The 22,501-nt window shown below is 45.6% G+C and overlaps 1 protein-coding gene across 2 annotated transcripts; it reads right to left on the bottom strand.

Annotated features, from left to right (window-relative positions):
- Window positions 1-1,774: 1,774 nt before the first annotated feature.
- On the bottom strand, window positions 1,775-10,588 carry CASP14 (caspase 14). Of its 2 annotated transcripts, NM_012114.3 has the most exons (7): window positions 10,423-10,588; window positions 7,790-7,862; window positions 6,437-6,586; window positions 6,110-6,335; window positions 4,794-4,910; window positions 4,535-4,638; window positions 1,775-4,083 (listed from the first exon to the last, which is right to left on the bottom strand). In NM_012114.3, exons 2-7 carry the CDS (start codon window positions 7,814-7,816, stop codon window positions 3,979-3,981), a joined length of 729 nt encoding a protein of 242 aa, NP_036246.1. In that variant the 5' UTR covers window positions 7,817-7,862; window positions 10,423-10,588; the 3' UTR covers window positions 1,775-3,978. The 2 variants fall into 2 exon arrangements, with proteins under 2 accessions (NP_036246.1, XP_011526163.1); XM_011527861.2 differs by lacking the exon at window positions 1,775-4,083 and having other exon boundaries at window positions 4,537-4,712.
- Window positions 10,589-22,501: the final 11,913 nt, after the last annotated feature.

Raw genomic sequence — 22,501 nt, 5'->3', positions numbered from 1 at the left:
TCTTTTTGAGACAGCGTCTCACTCTGTCTCCCAGGCTGGAATGCAGTGGCACGATCTCAGCTCACTGCAACCTCCGCCTCCCAGGTTCAAGCGATTTTCCTGCCTTAGCCTCTCAAGTAGCTGGTATTACAGGCGCCCACCAACATACCTGGCTAATTTTTGTATTTTTAGTAGAGACGGGGTTTCACCATGTTGGCCAGGCTGGTCTTGAACTCCCACCCTCAAGTGATCCACCCGCCTTAGCCTCCCTAAGTGCTGGGATTACAGGTGTGAGCCACCATGCCCAGCCTGTTTTTAATTTCTTTAGGAATCTCCATAGTGTTTTCCACAATGGCTGCACCATTCTATTTTCCACCAACAAAGGTTCCCTTTTCTCCACACCCTCACCAACGCTTATCTCCTATCTTTTTGATAATAGCCATCCCAACAGGTGTGAGGTGATACGTCATTGACATCAAAATTAGTATTGATAGCAAAATTGGAATTTTTGGAAAGATATTAGGATAGGGGTTGTCAAACCTTCTCTGTAAGGGGCCAAATAGTAAATAGTTTCAGCTTTGTGGGCCATATGCTGTCTGTTCTAACTACTCAACTCTACCATTGTAGGTTGAAGGCAGCCGTAGCCAGTATGTAAGTGAATAAACATGCCTGTGTGCCAGCAAAGCTTTGTTGATAAAAACAAACTGCAGACTGGATCTGGTGAGTGAGACACAGTTTTCTGACCCTCATGTTTGGAGACTCCCAGAATCATTGGGTGTTTGGACCGCAGGTTGGCATGTAAGTAAGTGTATAGAGCTCAGTGCATGCATCACCCCAGATCTCTTGGCCCTTCGAACCCACCCCTGTGTTGGCCACTTGGTTTTCCATCTCCATGGATAAAACCCCGGTTACTGCCATGGCTAGATTCCTGGGTGTACCACATAAAATGACCATAGACGATTGACTTCCTAAGGTGGAGGTTCAAATGGATCAGGAATGATGTACTTATGCCAGTAGACAGGTGTCAGCTTCCCAAGTGCTCAGAGGAGAAAGGCTTTGAGGTAACACTTGAGTTCATTAGGAAAAATAGGTGTGATTGATTAGTCATGTCTGCCATGGGCACCAGGCTAGAGAGATGGCACACTTGCTAAATGTCTTTGATGCTGTAACTAGCCCACCTCCAATGTCCCTTATAGTTCTGAAAAGTGACATTTTTCTGTCTGCATACTTCCTTGGAAACATTCTGGAGATGGAACAATTATGTAAAAGATAGCCATTCAGCATGAAAGTGTGGCCTGTAACTTTACAAATTCCCAACACGTCTGTTTTTGTGAAAGAGACAGGAGCTCGGTGTGGTGGGTCACATCTGTAATCTCAGCACTTTGGGAGGCCAAGGCAAGAGGATTGCTTGAGACCAGGACTGTGAGACCAGCCTCGGCAACATAGCAAGACCCAATCTCTACCGAAAAATAAGAAAATTAGCCAGGTGTGGTGATGCACACCTGTAGTCCCAGCTACATGAGAGGCTGAGGTGGGAGGATTGCTTGAGCCCAGGAGGTCGAGGGTGCAGTGAGCTATGATGGTGCCACTGTACTCCAGCCTGGGTGGCAGAGCAAGATCTCATCTCTTAAAGAAAAAAAAAAGGAAAGAAGACACAGGCTGAAGCTCCTGATTCTCCATTCATGATAGACACACCTGGGAGGAAGCCAGCCACTGGGAAAAAAGAAATTAAATCCATAACTCCTTTTGTATCAGCCTCACTGTTTCAGCACAGAACAAAGATTTCAACACTTTCTTTCAAAGTTTGACAACTGTTTATTGAACACTCATTATGCAGATTAAGGGCTTGTTCCCTGCCCTCCAGAAGTGGTCATTTCCAGCATCTAATCCTGGGTGAGAGGGAAGGATCAATCAGAAAAAAGAGAGGAAATGGCTTTCTGGAAAAAGTAGGGGTGGGAGGTAGTGGAAGAGGGGTAAAGGGAGAGGGAGGGCCCTCCAGCTTGGGGGAAATGGTGATAGCAAAGGCTTAGAGGCAAGGGTGAGTAAGAAGACATTAGCCTTTTTGAAAGAGTGAATTCATGGTGGAAGAGATGGGAGATGGGTTTAGCTAAGTGCTGGTAGATGGCAAAATTGGAAGGGTGTGAGAGATCCTGATGTGCGGTTTGACTTTGGTCTTTATTTGATTGATTGATTTATTTTGGAGACCGGATCTCACTGTCTCACCTAGAGCTGGGATGCACTGGCATGATCATAGCTCCTTGCAGCCTCAAACTCCTGGGCTCAAGTCATCCTCCCACCTCAGCCTCCTGAGTAGCTGGGACTACAGGCATGTGCCACCATACCCAGTTAATTAATTTTTTTTTTTAGAGACAGGGTCTTGCTGTGTTGCCCAGGCTGGTCTCTTAACTCCTGGCCTCAAGTGATCCTCCCGCTTCAGACTCTCAAAGTCGGGAATACAGGTGTGAGCCACTGTCCAGTACCCTGGTCTTTAAATAATATGGTATGTTGTGTCTTCTTGAGTGTTCCAGGGAGATCACTGTTATAGATGGTATGGAGGACACATGAAAAGTGGGATGGAAAAGCAGAGAGGCAAGGGAGGAAGTTGGTTGCAAAGATGCAGATATGAGAAGCTGAGGACTTGAGCCTGGACAGTAACATGTCAGGGAAGAGAAGACCGGCATGAAAGTTGTTTCAAAATCAGGCTGGACTGGGCATGGTGTCTGGTGGCATATGAAGGATGCAAGAAGAGAGGGGTCATAGATTGACTGCAGAAATCTGAACCTGGGATCTGAGGTTGAGGATACCAGGGAACGCTTGGAGGAGTAACCGGGAAGAAAAGCCCTGAGTTTTTAGTGACGCTGGATGTGCCCGTAGGTTACTTGAGCAGGAAAGGTCAAAGCTGGGGATGGAGAGATACAGGCTGTAGAGTTGGAAGATAGTGAAGCCGATCTGACTTCCAGCCTGGTGCTGCAAGGTTACCTGGAGGTAACCTTGGCTGGTGGTTATTGAAAATTTCTAGAAACTTCCAGAAAGCTCCTACCTTGGAGATAGGGAAAATTTTTATTAGTCATCTTCACTAATTAGAAAAGTTTTCAGATGGATCAGGATTTAGCAGGTTGTGGAAAAGAGGCTGGGCTGGAAGTCAAACCTTGTCCTTGCCTCTGTCTTACTGTATTGCATTTGACAAATTATTTAACCTCTCTGGTTATGAGAGGTTAAATATTATGTTGTCTGCAAAATAGCAAGGTGACAACAGGGAATTTGCCATAGCTCCAACACGCTCTCATTTAGAGTAATTGAATGCAAGAATAGTTGAATAGATGGATTTTCTTGGAGAGAGGGCAGAGTCCAGGGTTTCAGGGGAGGGGTGTTAGGAGGAAGAGATCCAGAAAGGAGGAGACAACTTTATTATCTAGAGAGGCCATGAGCTAGGAAGAGAACGGAGTTAGGACACCAACTTGCCAGCCAAGGAGGAGTGGTTTTGGAGAGAAAGAATGGTTCTTACCTTACTAACTCTCCAGGGTAAAGGAAAGAACTGGAAGTTGGGAATGCATTGGCCTCAGGAGGAGGTTTGACCTCCAAGTGAGATGCAGGAGCCAGCAGAGGTTGGATTGGGGTAGGAGGGGATGAGTGGGCTTTGGTTTGTCTATGGAAAATCTTGAGCTTTATCCAGTTTCTGCTTCATGGGAGAAAGAAGACCACAGGAACAGAAAGTGGGATAAGTGAATGCACTCTTAGGTCTCTTCGGTTGCATTAATAAAGATAGAAAGTCCAGCCTGAGGGAGGTGATGTTAATGTTGCCACCATGCCTTGTGCTAAGTTTTGGCTGGCTTGCTCTAATAAGGACAGGAGGACCTGCATGAAGGGTGTGATGGAAAAGAAACTGGGTGCCATTTGGCCTTGGGAACAGAAGATCTTGGGGAGAGGTAAGAGCTGCCTCTAAATTTCTGTGAGACAGAAAGAATGCTGGAAGGAAAGCTCCTCCTGGTCTTTCTACTTCTACTGCAGATACAGCCGTTTCCGGAGGGTGCTTTGGATTTCAGGGTTCGTTTTCCTTGCTTTTCCTTCTTGAACCAGCTCTGCTTCTGCCATCCGCCGGGTCACCTGCAGCAACAGGTGTGGTGAGCTTGGAGGAGTCAGTGTCATGGACTTATGGGGGGAGGGTTAGGGAACGGGGCAGGTGGGTATTCTTGTCCTAAGATGAGAGACCGTTGTGGCCTCTTCCTATACCATAGTTTGTATGGAATCCTTGGCTGGGCATTTTTTAAATAATTTGCAATAAAAACATATAAACATTAAAAGAAAACAGTTTGCCCAAACATTGTTTATATCCAAGGGGGATTTGTTTATAGAAATTTATCTCCCATACTGTGGCTTTTAAGAGTCCCTGCATTTGGGAAAGTTGTTGGAAAGTGGGCTTCTTAGTTTCTGTATTGAGATCTGGCTTGGATTTGGAGCTGAGGGAAATGGAGAGGGGTTAGGAGGAGGCTCAGCCCCCTCCGCCTGCACCCTTCTTGGCCTGGGCGGTGGTCCCAGCTACCTTTTGTCAACTCACCTCTGTCAGAAGTTCCAAGATATGTCCTTTCCTCTTCGTGAACACATCCACCAGGGTCTGGATAAAGCATGAGCCTTTCTGATCATGTCGGTAGGCGATGTATCCTGGGAATTCCAGAGAGGTGGGTTCGGGGGAGCTTCAGAGGGTAGGTAGAGGGGATCCTGGAAGGGCGTGGGTCCTGGAGGAGAGGTTCAGGAGTTGGGAGTGGCAGGAGAGGGGGAAGAGCAGAGGGATCCCTGGGCCAGCTGGGAGCTCATACCCTCTACCGTGGAATAAACGTGCAAGGCATCTGTGTATGTTGGGATGGTTTGTGGGCTGTCTTTGATGACCATCACAATCTCATCTCCACCTACTGTTTCACCGGGGTCCCTTTGTTCTGAAACAACAAGAAGAGGAGGAGGCAAAGTCAGAGAGAAAGGTAAGGAAAGGGGCTGGGCAGGGTGGCTCACACCTGTATTCCCAGTGTTTTGGGGGGCTGAAGCAGGAGGATCACTTGAACCTGGGAGCTTGAGGCTGCAGTGAGCCATGATTGCACCACTACACTCTAGCCTGGGAGACAGAGCGAGATGTCGCCTCTTAAAAAGAAAGGTAAGGGCTGGGCACGGTGGCTCACACCTGTAATCCCAGCACTTTGGGAGGCTGAGGAAGGCAGATCACCTGAGGTCAGGAGTTTGAGACCAGCCTGACCAACATGGTCAAATCCCATCTCTACTAAAAATACAAAAATTAGCCAGGCATGGTGGCTTGCACCTGTAATCCCAGCTACTTGGGAGGCTGAGGCAGAAGAATTGCTTGAACCTGGGAGGTGGGGGTTGCAGTGAGCCAAGATTGTGCCATCGCACTCCAGCCTGGGTGACAGAGCAAGACTCCGTCTAAAAAAAAAAAAAAAAAAAGGATGCTTTTGTGGTATGCCATGTGCAGTGGGGCTTTTTAATTTAATTTAACTTTTTAGAGACAGGGGCTTGCTTTGTTGCCCAGGCTGGAGTGCAATGGTGTAATCATAGCTCACTGCAGCCTCTTAACTCCTGGGCTCAAGTGATCCTCCTACTTCAGCCTCCTGAGTAGCTAGGACCACAGGCCCATGCCACCATGCCCTTGGCTAATCTTTAATATTTTTCATAGAGCTGGGTTCTTGTTACATTGCTCGACGCTAGTCTTGAACTCCTGGCCTCAAAAAATCTTCCCGCCTGGGCCTCCCAAAGTACTGGAATTACAGGCATGAGCCATGGTGCCTGGCTTCAGCTGGGGCTTTGGATCTGGGACTGGCTTGGATAAAAACACAGACTTGGTTGGGCATGGTGGGAGGCTGAGGCAGGAGGATTGCTTGAGCTCAGGAGTTTGAGACCAGCCTGGGCAACATAATCAGACCCTGTCTACAAAAATTAGCCTGACATAGTGGCGGGAGCCTGTAGTCTCAGCTACTCAGGAGGCTGAGGCAGGAGGACGGCTGGAGCCTGGGAGATGGAGATTGCAGTGAGTTGAGATTCCGCCACTGCATTCCAGCCTGGGTGCTGTCTCAAAAAACAAAACAGAAACAACAAACCACAGACTCTGTGCTCTTGGATCTGTCCCCACCTCCTCGACAGGCCTGTATGATGTACACCTTGGGCTTAGCTCGCAGGGCCTGGCAGTTCTTGTTGTTCAGGGCCTCGAAGAGATTCTCCAGCTTGACCATCTCCCCATCTTCTCCCTTGAGGAAGCCTTCCCTCCCGTGAGCCATGAGTACCACGAAGGCACAACTGACGGGATCTTCCCGGGAATCGATGGCCTGCTGGAATTTTTCCAGCTCTTCCTGGAATTGCTGGAGTGAGAGGAAGAACCAGACTCAGCTGGGTCCCCATAGCCTACACTTCCAACCTAGTACCTTTCCCCCAAACAGGCCTGGAGTAGGCACCCCAATACCTCGGCAGTGGGGTCTCTTTTCATGGTGCTTTCGAATCTCAGCTGCCGAAACATGTGTTCCAGAGCATCCAGGTCTTCTTCGGAACCTTCCCGGGCTTTGGTGACACACAGTATTAGGGCCAGGCGGGCACCTGACATATCATATTTCTCCTGGGGCCAAGAGAAGACAGAAATCAGCATGGAGAGGTTCAAGGAGAAGCAGATGTAGTCAAAAGAGGCATGCAGGCTGGGTGTGGTGGCTCATGCCTGTGATCCCAGCACTTTGGGAGGCCGAGGTGGGAGGATTGCTTGAGCCCAAGAGTTCGAGACCAGCCTGGGCAACATAGTGAGACTCTGTCTCTACAAAAAATGAAAAATATAGCTGGGTGTGCTGCTGTGCATCTGTGGTCCCAGCTACTTTGGAGGCTGAAGTGGGAGGATAGCTTGAGCCTGGGAAGTTGAGGCTGCAGTGAACTATGATCTTGTCACTGCACTCCAGCCTGGGCAATAAGTGAGACCCTGTCTCAAAAATGAACAAACAAAACAAGAGAGGCTTGGGCTTAGGGTTGCCAGGTATAATAGAAGATGCTCAGGTACACTTAAATTTCAAATAAAAACCAAATACCTTTTTAGTATAAGTATATCCCAAATATTGCATGGGATATACTTATACTACATAATTATTTGTTGTTGATGTGAAATTCAAATTGAATTGGGTGTCCTTTATTTTTAGTTCCCAAATACAGCAACCCAACCTGGGGTCCAGCTCTTTTCTAGCTTGGTATGAACTTGGGGGAAGTCACTGCTCCCATCTGAGCCTCAGTTTCCAAATATAGACAATGAGTGTGTGTGTGATTTTGAAGATCCCTTCCAGTTGTCGTATTTTGTGGATTTGCAGGTCTCCTCATCCTCCCCAAGAGTGTTCTGAGCATTCCTCTATTACCTCCTCACTTGCAGAGGTCTCAGAGTTTCTGAAGCTAATACTGAGATCCCGTCTGAGGAAGAAGAATATTGGGGGTCAACAGTTCTTTCCAGAACAGAAGCAGCGTACTGAGCACCCCAGTGGTAAGAACTTCATCTTTTAAAAAATCAACATGAAATTGTTTATTGCAGGACTTCTCAGAACCTTTAATGTGTTGAGAAGAACTTGATCTTTGGAGACAGAGGTAGCTGTGTTTGACTGCCCCCACCACCCAACCCAACTTCGGTTCCATCTCTGAGTCTTTTTTTGCTGTTTGATTGACTACAAAGTACCTCCTAGCTCTGAGTTCAGATCATGATTTTTTCAGTCCCTCCACTCTTTCCAAAACATTAAAATCCTCACCTTCCTTCTCCCCAGATGATCACCCTCCCCTCAACCTGCACCCAGCCTACCTCTTCCAAAGACCGCGGATTGCTCATTTCTCCTTTGGTTGTGAGTCCCGGCTCTCAGCACCCTTGTCTGATCCTTGGAGTCAAGAGAAGATAGGTTAAAGTTCTCTAAAGGGAGGCCGAGGGGCTCAGGGGACAAACTGGCTTATGTATCTGGATTTTTGAGACCAAATAGCACTCAAGTGGTGGGGATTTGGTCTGTGGACAGATCTGGGCAATAGATGATAATCCATGAAGTAGTAATATATCACCCCTAGAATGACAATTTCACGATGTCTTCCATTTCTGGATGTCTTCTTCAGAACTGCTGAGCCTACCCCACAATGTCCCCCACTCCGCCCCCAAAAACTTCCTGTGTCTCCCGTGGGTCATTCACCAGCTTCTGGTGGACTGAACTTCCCCTGAAAGCCCTGGAATGAGGAGCAGGGCAAGTGACCCATGTGTTTGCCTCTTCTACCTAGGAGATGACGGGCTGGGGAAGCCATCTCAAAGAGATGCCTTGGAGGAGTGTTTAAAAGGAGAATGTCATCGAAGTGGGGAATGCAACTTTGATATTATCTCACTGGGTCTCCAATACGAAGGGGTCAATCCACCTCCCTTGCTCTTCCTTGAGTCTGAATGTCTGTCCACATTCTCCATTCTCATCTCTGAGTCCTGTTCTCTTCTCTGGCTGCACAGACAGACTTTTGTCATACTCTTGGCATTTCCCCATCTCTTTGCCTTTTCCTACACTTTCTCCTCAGTAGGGAATGCTTTTTGCTTTTTTTTTTTTTTTTTTTGAGACAGAATCTCACTCTGTCACCCAGGCTGTCTGGGGTGCAGTGGCATGATCTCGGCTCACTGCAACCTCTGCCTCCTGGGTTCAAGTGATGATCCTGCCTCAGCCTCCCGAGTAGCTGGGACTACAGGTATGCGCCACCATGCCTGGCTAATTTTATTGTATTTTTAGTAGAGACGGGATTTCACTGTGTTAGCCAGGATGGTCTTGATCTCCTGACCTCATGATCTGCCCACCTCAGCCTCCCAAAGTGCTGGGATTATAGATGTGAGCCACTGCACCCCACCGGGAATGCTTTTTTTTTTTCTATCTAGATCCTTCTCTGACAATTTTGGTGGCATAATATCTGCTATGCCTTCCCCCATCAACCATCCATTCATCTATGTTTTTATCCATCTATCTATCCAGTCACCCATCAATTCATTCATCTATCCATCTACCATCTATCCATTAATTCATCATCTATCCATCCATTCACCCACTCACCCTTCCATCTATTCATCTGTCCATCTACTTATCTATTAATCAGTCATCCCATCCACCCATCCTTCCACCCGCACATCTATCTAGTCATCCATCAATCCAATTTAACATCCATCCTTTTATTCATCAACCCATCCACCAATTTATCTTTCCACTTACCTATCTATCCACTCATCCATCCATCCATCCACCCACTCACACATCTATTCATCCGTCTGTCTACCCATCTATTAATCAGTCATCCCATATACCCATTCATTCTTCCATCAACCCATTTATCTACCCATCCATCTATCTATCCATCCACTTATTCATCCAACCACTCATTCATTCATCCATCCATCCATCCATTCATCCATTATCTCTCTCTGTCTTCCATCCCTCCATCTATTCTATCTTCCAACTATCCCTCCATCTAGCCCTCCTTCTATCCATTCCTTCATCCATCATCTCTATCTTCCATCTATCCATCCACCTATTTACTTATCCATCTACCCACCCACCCATCCATCCATCCATCCATCAATCCATCCACCCACCCACCCACCTACCCAGCAAATATTTTCTGGGTATCTATTATGTGTTATGCACTTAGAATCCATTAAGTAAGACAGACATGCTCCCTGACTTTCTGTCCTTCTGTAGCTCTAGTCTGTGACAGAAATGAATATTAAATCTCTCTCTCTCTCTCTCTCTCTCACACACACACACTCACACACACACACAGCAAGTGCTGTGACGAAAGAGGAGCCAAAGATTGTGAGGGAGGAAGTGGAAGGAGCATAGCCCTGGAGCCAGAACCGAATCCTGCCTCAGTCCCTTCCCAGCTGTGTGACCTTCGGCATCTCACTCTCCTCTCTGAGACTCGATTTTCCCATCCGCAAAGGACCTGGGGAGAGCTCTAGGTGCTTAACAGCAATGGTGACCCAGGTAGGTTTTAGGATCCCTCTTGACCTCCTGGAACTTTCCTCTTCCTTCTCTGGACTCTCACAGCTCTGCTTGCTCCTACTTGAATTACAGCAGTGTTTTTGATTCTTACTCTCATGGCTGAACTGGCAGCTCAGTTTTCAGGACTGAAAGCCTGACTTCATTATCTCTGTCTCCATCATGGCCAACAGTGTGGCAGGGAGCACAGAGGTGGTGTTGGAGAGAATTTGCTGAGTAAACAAATAAGAAAAAAATGAACAGATGAAAAGAAAGAGGGGATGGATGGAAATTTCTTCCATTCTGCCAAAACTGGCCAGAGCATTAATTCATGAAGGGAGAGGGAGCGTATGTGTGTATGTGCGTGTGTGTGTGTGTGTGTGTGTGTGTGTGTGTGTGAGAGAGAGAGAGAGAGAGAGAGAGAGAGGCTAATATCCACCAAATCACTTACCAACTCTAGAGGCAGCTGTTCCTCAAGGCCAAGTTCAATCTCACTACTCTCCTAGTTGCCAATACTGAGCTGGGCACCGAGGAGGAGTCAGGCCCACGTACTGATCTTGGAGAAGGGGCTGACAGTGTGGAATCTCCCGGGGTTTCTCCTGAGAAGCCTGGTCTATGAATCGGGTGGCACAATCACCTGGCCCTTTATTGTCGGTGAGTTTTCTGTCACTCAAGAAACCTCATGACACACCCTTGGCACACAGCTGTGGTGTGGAAATGGAGCCAACGCCAATGGGATGAGTGATCGCAAGGCTGAGGGGACTCCCTCTGGCAAAGGTGGCCTAGGCAGAGAGTCTAAATGAGTCAGATGTCTGTGCCAGCCCAGCCACAACCTCTCCCAACCCCCATCCCATAGCCAGCCCATCTGGTTATTACCATCATCATTATGCCTAGTTTATTCATCTCACCTTCCACTGTGTAGATAACACCGACTTCACTTAGTTATTATCTCATCGAGTCTTCAAGAGTCTAGACAGATCAGTATTTTTGCTCCCATTTTGCAGATGGAGAAACTGAGGCTCATAGAGGTGAAATGACTGCCCAAGGTCAGCAATTGGCACAGTTGGCATTCAACCCTATAAGGGGTGAGGTGTGGTGGGTCACGTCTGTAGTCCCAGCGCTTTGGGAGGCCAAGGCAGGAGGATCGCTTGAGGTGAGGAGTTTGAGACCAGCCGGGGCATAGTGAGACCCTGTCACTAAAATAATAATAATAATAAAAATGATGGCATATACCTATAGTCCTAGCTACTCAGGAGGCTGAGGTAGGAGGCTGGCTTGAGCCTAGGAGTTTGAGGCTGCAGCGAGCTAAGATTGTGCCTCTGCACTCCAGCCTGGGTGACAGAGCAAGACTCTGTCTTAAATATAAAAACAAACAAACAACCCCTAAAATGTTCCAGCCCAGTTGCCTTAACTGATGCATCATGATGATTCCTCTCTTCCTCCTCCTCTTATTATTTTTCAGCCATTTTGTTTCATTTTATTTCTTATGTTAATAGTGAAACCAAAGGCGAACCTGATTAAGCCCTCCAGACTTAATCTGCCTTGCGTTTAATTGCTTACTTACTTTTAATTGCTTACTTATAGTTGATCTTAAAAGCGCCACTAGCAAGTCACGTAGCCAAATAATGCATAACTAAACTCCCACTGGCTTCCTTACAGATAACATTTTTGTCTGTGGGACACTATAGTAATGGGTGCTTAAAGTTGTTTTTCAGGAACTAGGTAGGAGGCAGCTCTTGTTTAGTTTAAGCCAGTGGAGATCACTGACCCTTCAACTGCACCTATGTGGGTAGCTGATATCAGAGGGCCGTAAACTCCACCTTCAGATCATGCTAAATGCTATTTTTTGCACAAATGTCCTATCTAAAGCCATGTAGCTCAACCATGCTTGCTCAGAAATTCTGATTACCTCACCTTCCCTACCTGCCAGTCACCTTTCTCCGTACTTTAGATCACCCCGTTTTCTATCCCATAAGCACCCTCAAACCCTATTTTTGGGGAGGAGAATTTGAGACCTGTTTTACCACCTCGTCGCTTAATTGCCTCATGAACGAACTCTTCCTCTTCTGCAAAATCTGTCATTACATTGATTGGCTTGCTGCACAGAGGAAGAACAAACTCGGTTCGATAGCAACAGCTTAAATGAGATATAATTTACGTATTATACAATTCACCCACCTGAAGTGTGCAATCCAGTGGGTTTCAATATATTCACAGTGATGCAACCATTGCGTCAGTTCATTTTGGAACATTTTGTTTTTTCTTTTTTCGGAGATAAGATCTGTCACCCAGGCTGGAGTGCAGTGGAGCGATCACAGCTCACTGCAGCTTAAAACTCCTGGGCTTATTCGATCCTTCCACCTCAGCCTCCTGGGCAGCTGGGACTACAGGTGTGCACGTACATGCCTTGCTACTTTTTTCCTCAAGATTTTTTGTAGAGACAAAGTCTTGCTGTGTTGCCCAGGCTGGTCTCGAACTTCTGGCCTCAAGGGATCCTCCCCACTCGGCCTCCCAAAGTGTGAGATTACAGGCGCGGGCCACCACACCTGGCTCATTTTAGAACATTTTTATCACCCCCCAAAAGAATCCCAGTACCCTTTAGCTATCACTCCCAATCTCTCCATACATCCCAGCCTTAGGCAACCACTAGCCGAGTTTCTGTCTCTGCAGGTTTCCCTGTTCTGGATATTTCACAGAAATAGAATCATACACTATGTGATTTTTGTGTCTGGCTTCTTTCATTCAGCATGATGTTTTCAAGAACAGTATTGCAGGGATGTTGGTTTGTTGTCTCCTGTTTCATTTTGTTTTGGTTTTTAGAGAGCCAAGTGTTAGATGTCTTTCAGCAAACCATTGCAGACACTCCCATTCCAATTCCTTCCCCTAAGATCCAGCCTTCTTAGCTGACCAGATCCTATAAATCAATGAGATTTCAAGGAGGAGGAAGATAGCATCCACATGGTAGCATATATTAGAACTTCATCCCTTTTTCTGACTGAATAATAGTCCATTGTACAGATATACCTCATTTTGTTTATTTATTCATCTGTGGAGGAACATTTCAGTTGTGTTAGGCTTTTGGCTATTTGAAGGATGCTGTTATACATATTTATGTACAAGTTTTATGTGGATTTTTTTTTGAGACAGGGTCTCACTAAGTTGCCCAGGCTGGAGTGCAATGGTATGATCTCAACTCACTACAACCTCTGCTTCCCGGACTCAAGCAATTCTCCAGCCGCAGCCTCCCCAGTAGCTGGGACTACAGGCGTGCACCACCATGCCAGGCTAATTTTTTGTGTGTTTTTTGTAGAAACTGGGTTTTGCCATGTTGCCCAGCTGTTGTTAAACTCCTGAGCTGAAAACGATCCACCTGCCTGGGCCTCCCAAAGTGCTGGGATTACAGGCGTGAGCCACCACGCTTAGCCTGATGCATGTTTTAATTCCATTCCTAGTAGTGCAACTTTCTAGCAATACAGAAATGTTTTTTTTAGCAAAACTGGCCTGTTCTCATCCTTCCAATTCTTCCCTTTGCTTCCAGGTAGCCCAGGCACAAGACTGAGCAATTTCCCTTCAGTGCCTATTGCCGCATTGACTTACACACATTCGCAGTGTTAGTTACATAGGTGGGCCCGTTCTACAAAATTGTCCTGTTACTTGCCTTGTTCACCGAATTATGTCTGGGTCATCTTTCCATGTTAGCACATATGGAACAAACTCAATTTTTTTGTGTTCTTTAAACAACTATTGAGAATAACCTATGTGAAGAAAAGTGCGCGACTCTTTTTTTTTCTTTCTTTTTTTTTTTTTGAGACGGAGTCTCGCTCTGTCACCCAGGCTGGAGTGCAGTGGCGTGATCTTGGCTCACTGCAACCTCTGCCTTCCGGGTTCATGCCATTCTCCTGCCTCAGCCTCGCGAGTTGCTGGGATTACAGGCACTCACTACCACACCTGGCCAATTTTTGTATTTTTAGTGGAGATGGGGTTTCACCATGTTGGTCAGGCCTGTCTCGAACTCCTGACCTCGTGATCTGTCCCTCTTGGCCTCCCAAAGTGCTGGGATTACAGGCATGAGCCACCGCACCCGGCCTAGTGCACAACTCTTAAATGTGCAGCTTGATAATTTTTTTCAAACTGAACATATCCACGTGACCGACAATTCAGTGGTGCTATTGAATCAATTCTGCAATGGCATAAAAAGTACACACTTTTCACTAAAAGAGAAACAAAACCCAGGAAAACACCAAATTAAACTGGACATAACATCCTACACTTACCCCATGCCAAAATTTTAGCTAAAGCATGCTTTTGCTGTCTTCTTCCTCCTTGAAATCTCATTGTTTGACAGGGTCTGGTCCGTTAAGAAAGTTGGATCTTAGGGGAATCAGTCAGGACTCGGAGTGTTTGCAATGATGTGTTGGAAGATGTCTAACACTTCGCTCTCTAAAAACAAGACAAAATGAAGCCAAAAAACCACAACAAATCAACATCCCCCAATACTATTCAGCCATAAAAAGAATGAAATCCTGTCATTTGTGGTAACATGGATGGAACTGGAGGACAGTATGTTAGGTGAAATAAGCTAGAAACAGAAAGTTAAACAGCACATGTTCTCATTCATGTGTGGAAGCTAAATAAGTTGATTTTGTAAAAGCAAAAAGTGGAACAGAGGATGTTAGAGGCTGGGAATGGTAGGGGGAAGAGAGGATAGGGAGAGATTTGTTAAAGGATACAAAATTACAGCTAGTGCTGTTCACAACAGCAAAAACATGGAATCAACCTAGGCGCCCATCAACAGTGGACTGGATAAAGAAAAGTGTTATATATATATGTGTGTGTGTGTGTGTGTGTGTATGTGTGTATATGGTGTATATATATATGGTGTGTGTATATATACCATGGAATACTATGCAGCCATAGAAAATAACAAAATCATGGCTGGTTGCGTGGCTCATGCCTGTAATCCCAGCACTTTGGGAGGCCGAGGTGGGTGGATCACCTGAGGTCAGGAGTTTGACAACAGCCTGGCCAACATGGTGAAACCTCATCTCTACTAAAAATACAAAAATTAGCCAGGCGTGGTGGCGCATGCCTGTAATCCCAGCTACTGGGGAGGCTGAGGCAGGAGAATTGCTTGAACCCAGGAGGCAGAGGCTACAGTGAGCCAAGACCGTGCCACTGCACTCCAGCCTGGGCGATAGAGCAACACTCTGCCTCAAAAAAAAAAAAAAAAAAAAGAAAGAAAAAAGAAAAGAAAAGGAAAGAAAACAACAAAATGATGTCGTTTGCAGCAAAATGGATGCAGCTGGAGGCCATTATCCTAAGTGAATTAATGCAGGAACAGAAAACCAACCACCACATGTTCTCACTTATAAGTGGGAGCAAAACATTGACTACTCGTGGACATGAAGATGGAAACAATAGACACTGGTGACTACTAGAGGGAGGAGGGCAGGAGAGGGGGTGAGGGTTGAAAAACTACCTACTGTGTCCTGTGCTCACTACTTGAGTGATGGGATCATTCATACAGCAAACCTTAGCATCATGTAGTGTAGCCACTGATATGGTCTGGCTCTGTGTCCCTACTCAAATCTCATCTTGAATTGTAATCTGAATTGTAATCCCCAGGTTTGGGGGAGGGACATCGTGGGAGGTGATTGGATCATGGGGCCAGTTGTCCCATGCTGTTCTCGTGATAGTGAGTGAGCTGTCCTGAAATCTCATGATTTTATAAGGGGCTTTTCCCACTTTGCTCTTCACTTCTCTCTCCTGCTACCACGTAAGACGTGCTTCTTCCCCTTCTGCCATGATTGTAAGTTTCCTGAGGCCTCCCCGGCCATGGGGAACTGTAAGTCAATTAAACCTCTTTCCTTTATAAGTTACCCAGTCTTGGGTATTTCTTTATAGAGTATAAAAATGGATTAATAAACTCATGTAACAAATATGCACATGTACCACCGAATTTAAAATAAAAATTGAAAAAGAAAGATAAAGGTAACTTCAAAATGGTAGAAACATTTTATGGCATTTTTACTTGCCCTTGTCCCCCGCTCTATCTCCCCACCAAAAAATACAGCTAGGTAGGAAGAATAAGTTCTAGTGTTCTACAGCACTGTAGGGTAACTACAGTAAACAATAATATATTACATAGTTTCAAACAGCTAGAAGGAGAATATTGCATGCTCCCAACACAAAGAAATGATAAGTGTTTGAGATGATTGACATGTCAATTACCCTGATCTGATTACTGTATGTCATATGCCTCAAAACATCACTATGTACTCCATGAATATGTACAATTATTATGTGTCAATTAAAAAATAAAGAGGATGGCCAGGCGTGGTGGCTCACATCTGTAATCCCAGCACTTTGGGAGGCCGAGGCCAGCGGATCATTGGAGGTCAGAGTCTGACACCAGCCTGACCAACATGATAAAACGCCATCTCTACTAAAAATACAAAAATGTGCCAGGTGTGGTGGTATGCATCTGTAATCCCAGCTACTTGGGAGGCTGAGGCAGGAGAATTGCTTGAACCTGGTAGACAGAGGCTGCAGTGAGCCAAGATTGCACCATTGCACTCCAGCCTGGGCGACAAAAGCAAAACTCCGTTAAAAAAAAAAAAAAAAAAAGGAAGGAAAATGAAAAAACCTCCCAAACAATAAAAAGCAAAAAATGTCCTCATTTGTAATGTTGCTAATTTCCATGATGTATTCACTCTTGCTGTAGCTGATTTCAAGTTACAAACATGGCATCACTGAATGCAGAGTTGGGAAGAACTAGCCTTGGATTAGCCCAGGATTGAAAGGGCATTTCTGAGGCAGCCCCTGCCCCTGTGTGGAGGCAGGTGGGTTTAGACTGCCCAGTTCTTGGGTTGAAGGCTGTGCTTGAGTGTTTCATTTGGAACCAGGCACACAGTGAGGGCCCAAGAAGGAAGAACTGGGTGGATGAGTGTACTGGGATGCCCAGTTTAGTTTTGTCTCCTAAAATGGAGGTTGGCAGAGATGGTTCCTCATGAATTTCTCCTCAGTCCAATGATGATGAAATGTCGGGAGATCCTGTCTCCTCTGATGAGACACATATTTACACAGTATCAGTATGTGAGAGAATGCGTCACCATGGGCTGGAGTACTTGTGAGTTAACTAATTAAGTAATTAAATTGATTAATTATATTAATCAGAGTTATCTGGCAACTGGCTGGTCCAAGAAAGGCAACCTGGTGTAAGGACTCCATGGAGGAATGCATGCATTGACTCCCAAAGTGGTTACATGGTTACAAGTTGGCTTCATAGAGGAGGTATATGTCACCTGAGACTTGAGGAATGAGTAGGTGCTTTTCAGGTGGGCATGTGGGAGAGGTAGCCAGTGCAGAGGGGTCCCAACATGGGGAAATAGCAGAGGTGAATGAGTGAGCTTGGTGAATGCAAGGCACCATGTCTGTTTCCACATGGCCAGAGAATAAAGTGTAAGAGACAGTGGTGGTGAGAGTTAGTCCAGGTGGTGAGAGGTGAGTTCAGGTGATGGGAGATGAGTCTAGGTGATGGGAGATGAGTCTAGGTGGTGAGAGATGAGTCTAGGTGGTGAGAAGTGATTCCAGGTGGTGAGAAGTGATTCCACGTTGTGAGAGATGAGTCCGAGTGGTGCGAGGTGAATCTAGGTGGTGAGAGATGAGTCTAGGTGTTGAGAGGTTAGTCCAGGTGAAAGGTGAGTCCAGATGGTGAGATATGAGTCCAGGGTGTGAGAGGTGAGTCTAGGGGGTGAGAGGTGAGTCCAAGTGGTGGGAGGTAAGTCCAGGTGAGAGGTGAGTCCCGGTGTTAAGAGGTGACTCCAGGTGAGAGATGAGTCCAGAAGGTGAGAGATGAGGTGAGTCCAGGTGGGCTAGTCCAGGTGTTGAGAAGTGAGTACAGCTGGTGAGAGATGAGTTCAGGTGAGAGATGAGTTCAGTTGAGATGTGAGTCCAGGTGGTAAGAGATGAGTCCAGTGAGAGGTGAGTCCAGTTGGTGAGAGGTGAGTCCAGGTGGTGAGAGGTGAATCCAGGTGGTGAGAGGTGAGTCCAGGTGGTAAGAGATCAGTTCAGTTGAGTTGTGAGTCCAGGTTGTGAGAGATGAGTTCAGTTGAGATGTGAGTCCAGGTGGTGAGAGGTGAGTCCAGGTAGTGAGAGATGAGTCCAGGTGGTGAGATATGAGCCCAGGTGGGTGAGTCCAGCTGGTGAGAGATGAGTACAGGTAATAAGGGATGAGTCTAGTTGGTGAGAGGTGAGTCCAGGGGGTGAGAGATAAGTCTAGGTGATGAGAGGTGAGTCCAGATGGGTGAATCCAGGAGGTGACAGTGAGTCCAGGTGGTGAGATGTGAGTTCTGGTGGTGAGAGGTGAGCCCAGTGATGAGAGGAGAGTCCCTTTGTTGAGAGATGAGTCCTGGTGATGGGAAGTGAGTCCAAATGGTGAGAGGTGATTCCAGGAAAGGGTGAGATCATGAAGGGGCTTGAAGTCACTTTAAGGGAGTCTGAATTTGGTTGGGTTGTAGGGTTACCAACCGTCCTGGTTTGCCCAGATCTGCAGAGTTTTCTGGCATGTGGGGATTTCACTGCTAAGAAGCCAGGGAAGTCCTAGGCAAAGTGAATAAGGTGGTCCCTGATCCAAATAGGCAATGGGGAGCCATTGAGGAATTCAGAGCTGGAGAGTGACACAAGGACTCTTGGTTGTTAAAAGACTCATAGGTGGGAATTGAACAATGAGAACACATGGACACAGGAAGGGGAACATCACACACTGGGGCCAGTTGTGGGGTGGGGGAGGGGGGAGGGAGGGGGGAGGGATAGCATTAGGAGATATACCTAATGTTAAATGATGAGTTAATGGGTGCAGCACACCAACATGGCACATATATATATATGTAACAAACCTGCACGTTGTGCACATGTACCCTAAAACTTAAAGTAAAATAAACAAAAAAACAAAAAAGATTAATCAGATCTCAAGTAAAACGAAGCTTCTGGAGGAAGCTTCTGCTGAACGCTTCATGGACCAGGTGGTTCCAAATTACTGTGGCTGCCTGCACTTCTCCTGGGAAGTCATTTTACTCTTATAAATCTCCTTTGATATCTTCTTTCTCCCAAAGACAGTCAGCCAGTGAGAGTGTGAGCCATGCATGTTGTGTTTACGCAGCACCCAGCATGACACATGAAAAATGTTCAATGTGCATTGGGAGCAAAGGCCTGAAGTTGTCAGAATTGATGCTTCTGCCCCTTCACTCTACAGATGCTCTACAGATATAAACTGGAAATAATACCACGTCCTTCCTTAAGAATACAGTATGAGCCAGGAGTGGTGTAGTCCCAGCTACTTAGGAGGCTGAGGTGGGAGGATTGCTTGAGCCCAGGAATTTGAGGCTGCAATGAGCTATGATTGCACCACTGCTGCACTCCAGCCTGGGCAACAGAACAAGACCCTGTCTCTCAAAAAAAAAAAAAAAAAAACAAAAGAACATAATATGAAATTTTGTATGCTTTGATCAGTATCTCCCTATTACCTGCCCCAGCCCCTGGCAACCACCATTCTACCTCTCGACTTTCACGAGTCGGACTTTTTTAGATCTCATGTATAAGTGAGATCATGCAGTATTTGTTTTTCTGTGTCTGGATTATTTCACTTACCGTAATGTTCTCTCTAAATTCATCCATGTGGCAAATGACAGAATTTCCTCCTTTTAAAGGCTGAATAGTATTTGACCTGTGATCCCAGCTACTCCAGCCTGGGCGACAGGCTGGATTTTTTGTGTGTGTTTTTGTGTTTTTAGTAGAAATGGGGTTATTTTTGAGGCTAATTTTTGTATTTTTAGTAGAGATGGGGTTTCACCATGTTTGCCAGGCTGCTCATGAACTCCTGACCTCAGGCGATCTGCCCGCCTCAGCTTTATTTTTTAATTTTTTACTAGAGGCAGGTGTCTTTCTATGTTGTTATTATTTTTAAATGGCACATAATAATTGTATGTATTTATGGAGTACAGCGATATTTTGATGCATATAAACAATGTACAATGATCGAATCAGGGTGATTAGAGTATCCATCATCTCAAACATATATAATTTCTTTGTGTTGAGAACATTCAACATCTTCTCCTTTAGCCATTTGAAAATATACAATAAATTATTGTTAGCTATGGTCACCCCACAGTGCTTTAGAGCACTAGAACTTATATGTTTTTGAGATCTAAGATTTGTACAGCATGGTGACTATAGTTAATAATATTGTACATTTCAAAATTGCTGAAAGAGTAGATTTTCTTTTTCCTTTTTCTTTGAGATGGAGTTTCGCTCTTGTCACCCAGGCTGGAGTGCAATGGCGCAGTCTTGGCTCACTGCAACCTCCGTCTCCTAGGTTCAAGTGATTCTCCTGCTTCAGCCTCCCAAGTAGCTGGGATTACAGGTGCCCGCCACCATGCCTGGCTATATTTTTTCAATTTTTAAACATTAAATTTTTTTTGGTGATATCTAGACTTCAAAAAAGAGTAGATTTTAAATATTCTTATTAGAGGAAAAAAAAGGAGAGATGATATGTTTACTAGCTTGGTTTATTCATTCCACAATATAGACATATGTGAAAACACCACATTGTACCTCATAAATATATACAATTATTATTTGTCAATTTAAAAATTGACAAATTCAAAAAAAGAAATAAAATACTATTATTCATTAAAATAAAAATACTATTACTCATTTAAAAAAGCAGCAATGGGCCGAGTGCAATGGCTCACTCCTGTAATCCCAGCACTTTGGGAGGCTGAGGCGGATGGATCACGAGGTCAGGAGTTTGAAACCAGCCTGGCCAATATGGTGAAACCACATCTCTACTAAAAATACAAAAATTACCCAGGCGTGGTGGCACATGCCTGTAGTCCCAGCTACTCGGGAGGCTGAGGCAGAAGAATCCCTTGAACCTGGGAGGTGGAGGTTGCAGTGAGCCGAGATTGTGCCATTGTACTTCAGCCTGGGCTACAGAACGAGACTCCGTCTCAAAAACAAAAAACAAAACAAAACAAAACCAAAACACAAAACCAGCAATGGCATCTTAAGCCTGAAAGTCAATGTGGGTGAGGGCTCCCCGTCTCCAAGCAGCCCAAATCTCTTGGGTTGTTTTGCAGAAGAGCAAGTGCATATGTTTCACTGAACATGCTCATGCTTCCTAGGCATGATTTTCCTGAGAGTTCACAGTCGTGGTGAATATCTTCTGCCTTCACACACCATCAGAGAATGGCCATGTATCTAAATTGTTCATGCTTGCCCCCTGGGCACATCCATGAATTCATCTTCTTAGCCACAGTGCTGTTTCTCTGCCTGGAGTCCATATTCGCATCTATGTCACCAGCCCATGCTTCTCTCTGAATCTCAGGTCCTGACCTCTGGGGCCCCCTTTGCTTTTGTTGGGAGTTAAAGAAGTGAAAGCTCATCACAGTGTTGAAAGGAGGTGGTGTTGCTCAAAGATCTTTGGCAACTTTTCATCATTCTGGGCTTCCTTGGGGGGTAAACAATCCATGGGCCAGCGACAAGATGAGACAGCATCTTGTCAGGCAGGATTTTGTTCTCCACAATCTGGGAAGACATCCAAGCACCCCAGGTGTTCCTTCCCTTCCTGAAAGTATGAAAGTTTTGCAAGCCATTGAGCTTGCAATGCAATGGAGAGCCCAGCTGTGCAGCTGTAATTTCTCAAGCAATCCCCAAGATAATTCTTTATTTTTTTTACTTCATCTGATTTTTTATGTTCCTTCTGGGTGTCTGTTGCCATGTGCACGCACAATTAAAAAATTCGAATACGTTTAGTAGTAGCAGTCATACCAGCAGTAGTAGTTGTTGTTGTATTGGGATGAAAATCTTGATTGCATTTGCAACTATTCTTGCAACTCAGCTCTGTGAAGAAGGGGGGTTGATTTATCATCAAGGCAAGGAATGCATATCACACATGTCACTTTTCAAAACAAAATTTATATAAAGTATACACGGAAGCTGTCAGTCAATACAGAATACCTATATTTCAGGTGCGATACGTATTCTTTTACTGACCTTCGCTTACCTAAGTCACAGGATTGAGAGATGCTCTTCATTCACTTAGAGCATTTTTTTTTCTTTTTCATAGACAAGGGGTCTTGCTGTGTTGCCCAGGCTGCTCTCGAACTCCTCCTGGGCTCAAGCAATCCTCCCACCTCGGCTTCTCAAAGAGAGCTGGGATTACAAGAGTGAGGACTTAGAGCATTTTAAGCATAGAAATGCTAATCCCGACAACAGCTGTGCAACTGCATGGAGAAAAGTGAGGTTTAAGAATAGTTAAATAACTTGGCTCCCAAGCGTTGCAGCTGGGCTCTGACAGCAGCTCTCTGGAACTCCCAAGTCTTCTTATTTCCCTTCCTTTATGGCCCAAGGATGGGATCCATGAAAAAGAAATGAAGGAAATGTTTGGCTACTCTCTAGGTCCATCCTGAGAAGCTCACATGAGTTTGGCAGAATGAATGAGTTTGTCAAAGCTGCTCTGGGGGAACTGA

This window comes from Homo sapiens, chromosome 19, assembly GCF_000001405.40.
Source record: "Homo sapiens chromosome 19, GRCh38.p14 Primary Assembly".
NCBI lineage: Eukaryota > Metazoa > Chordata > Mammalia > Primates > Hominidae > Homo > Homo sapiens.
This window is presented reverse-complemented; position numbering and strand designations above follow the sequence as displayed.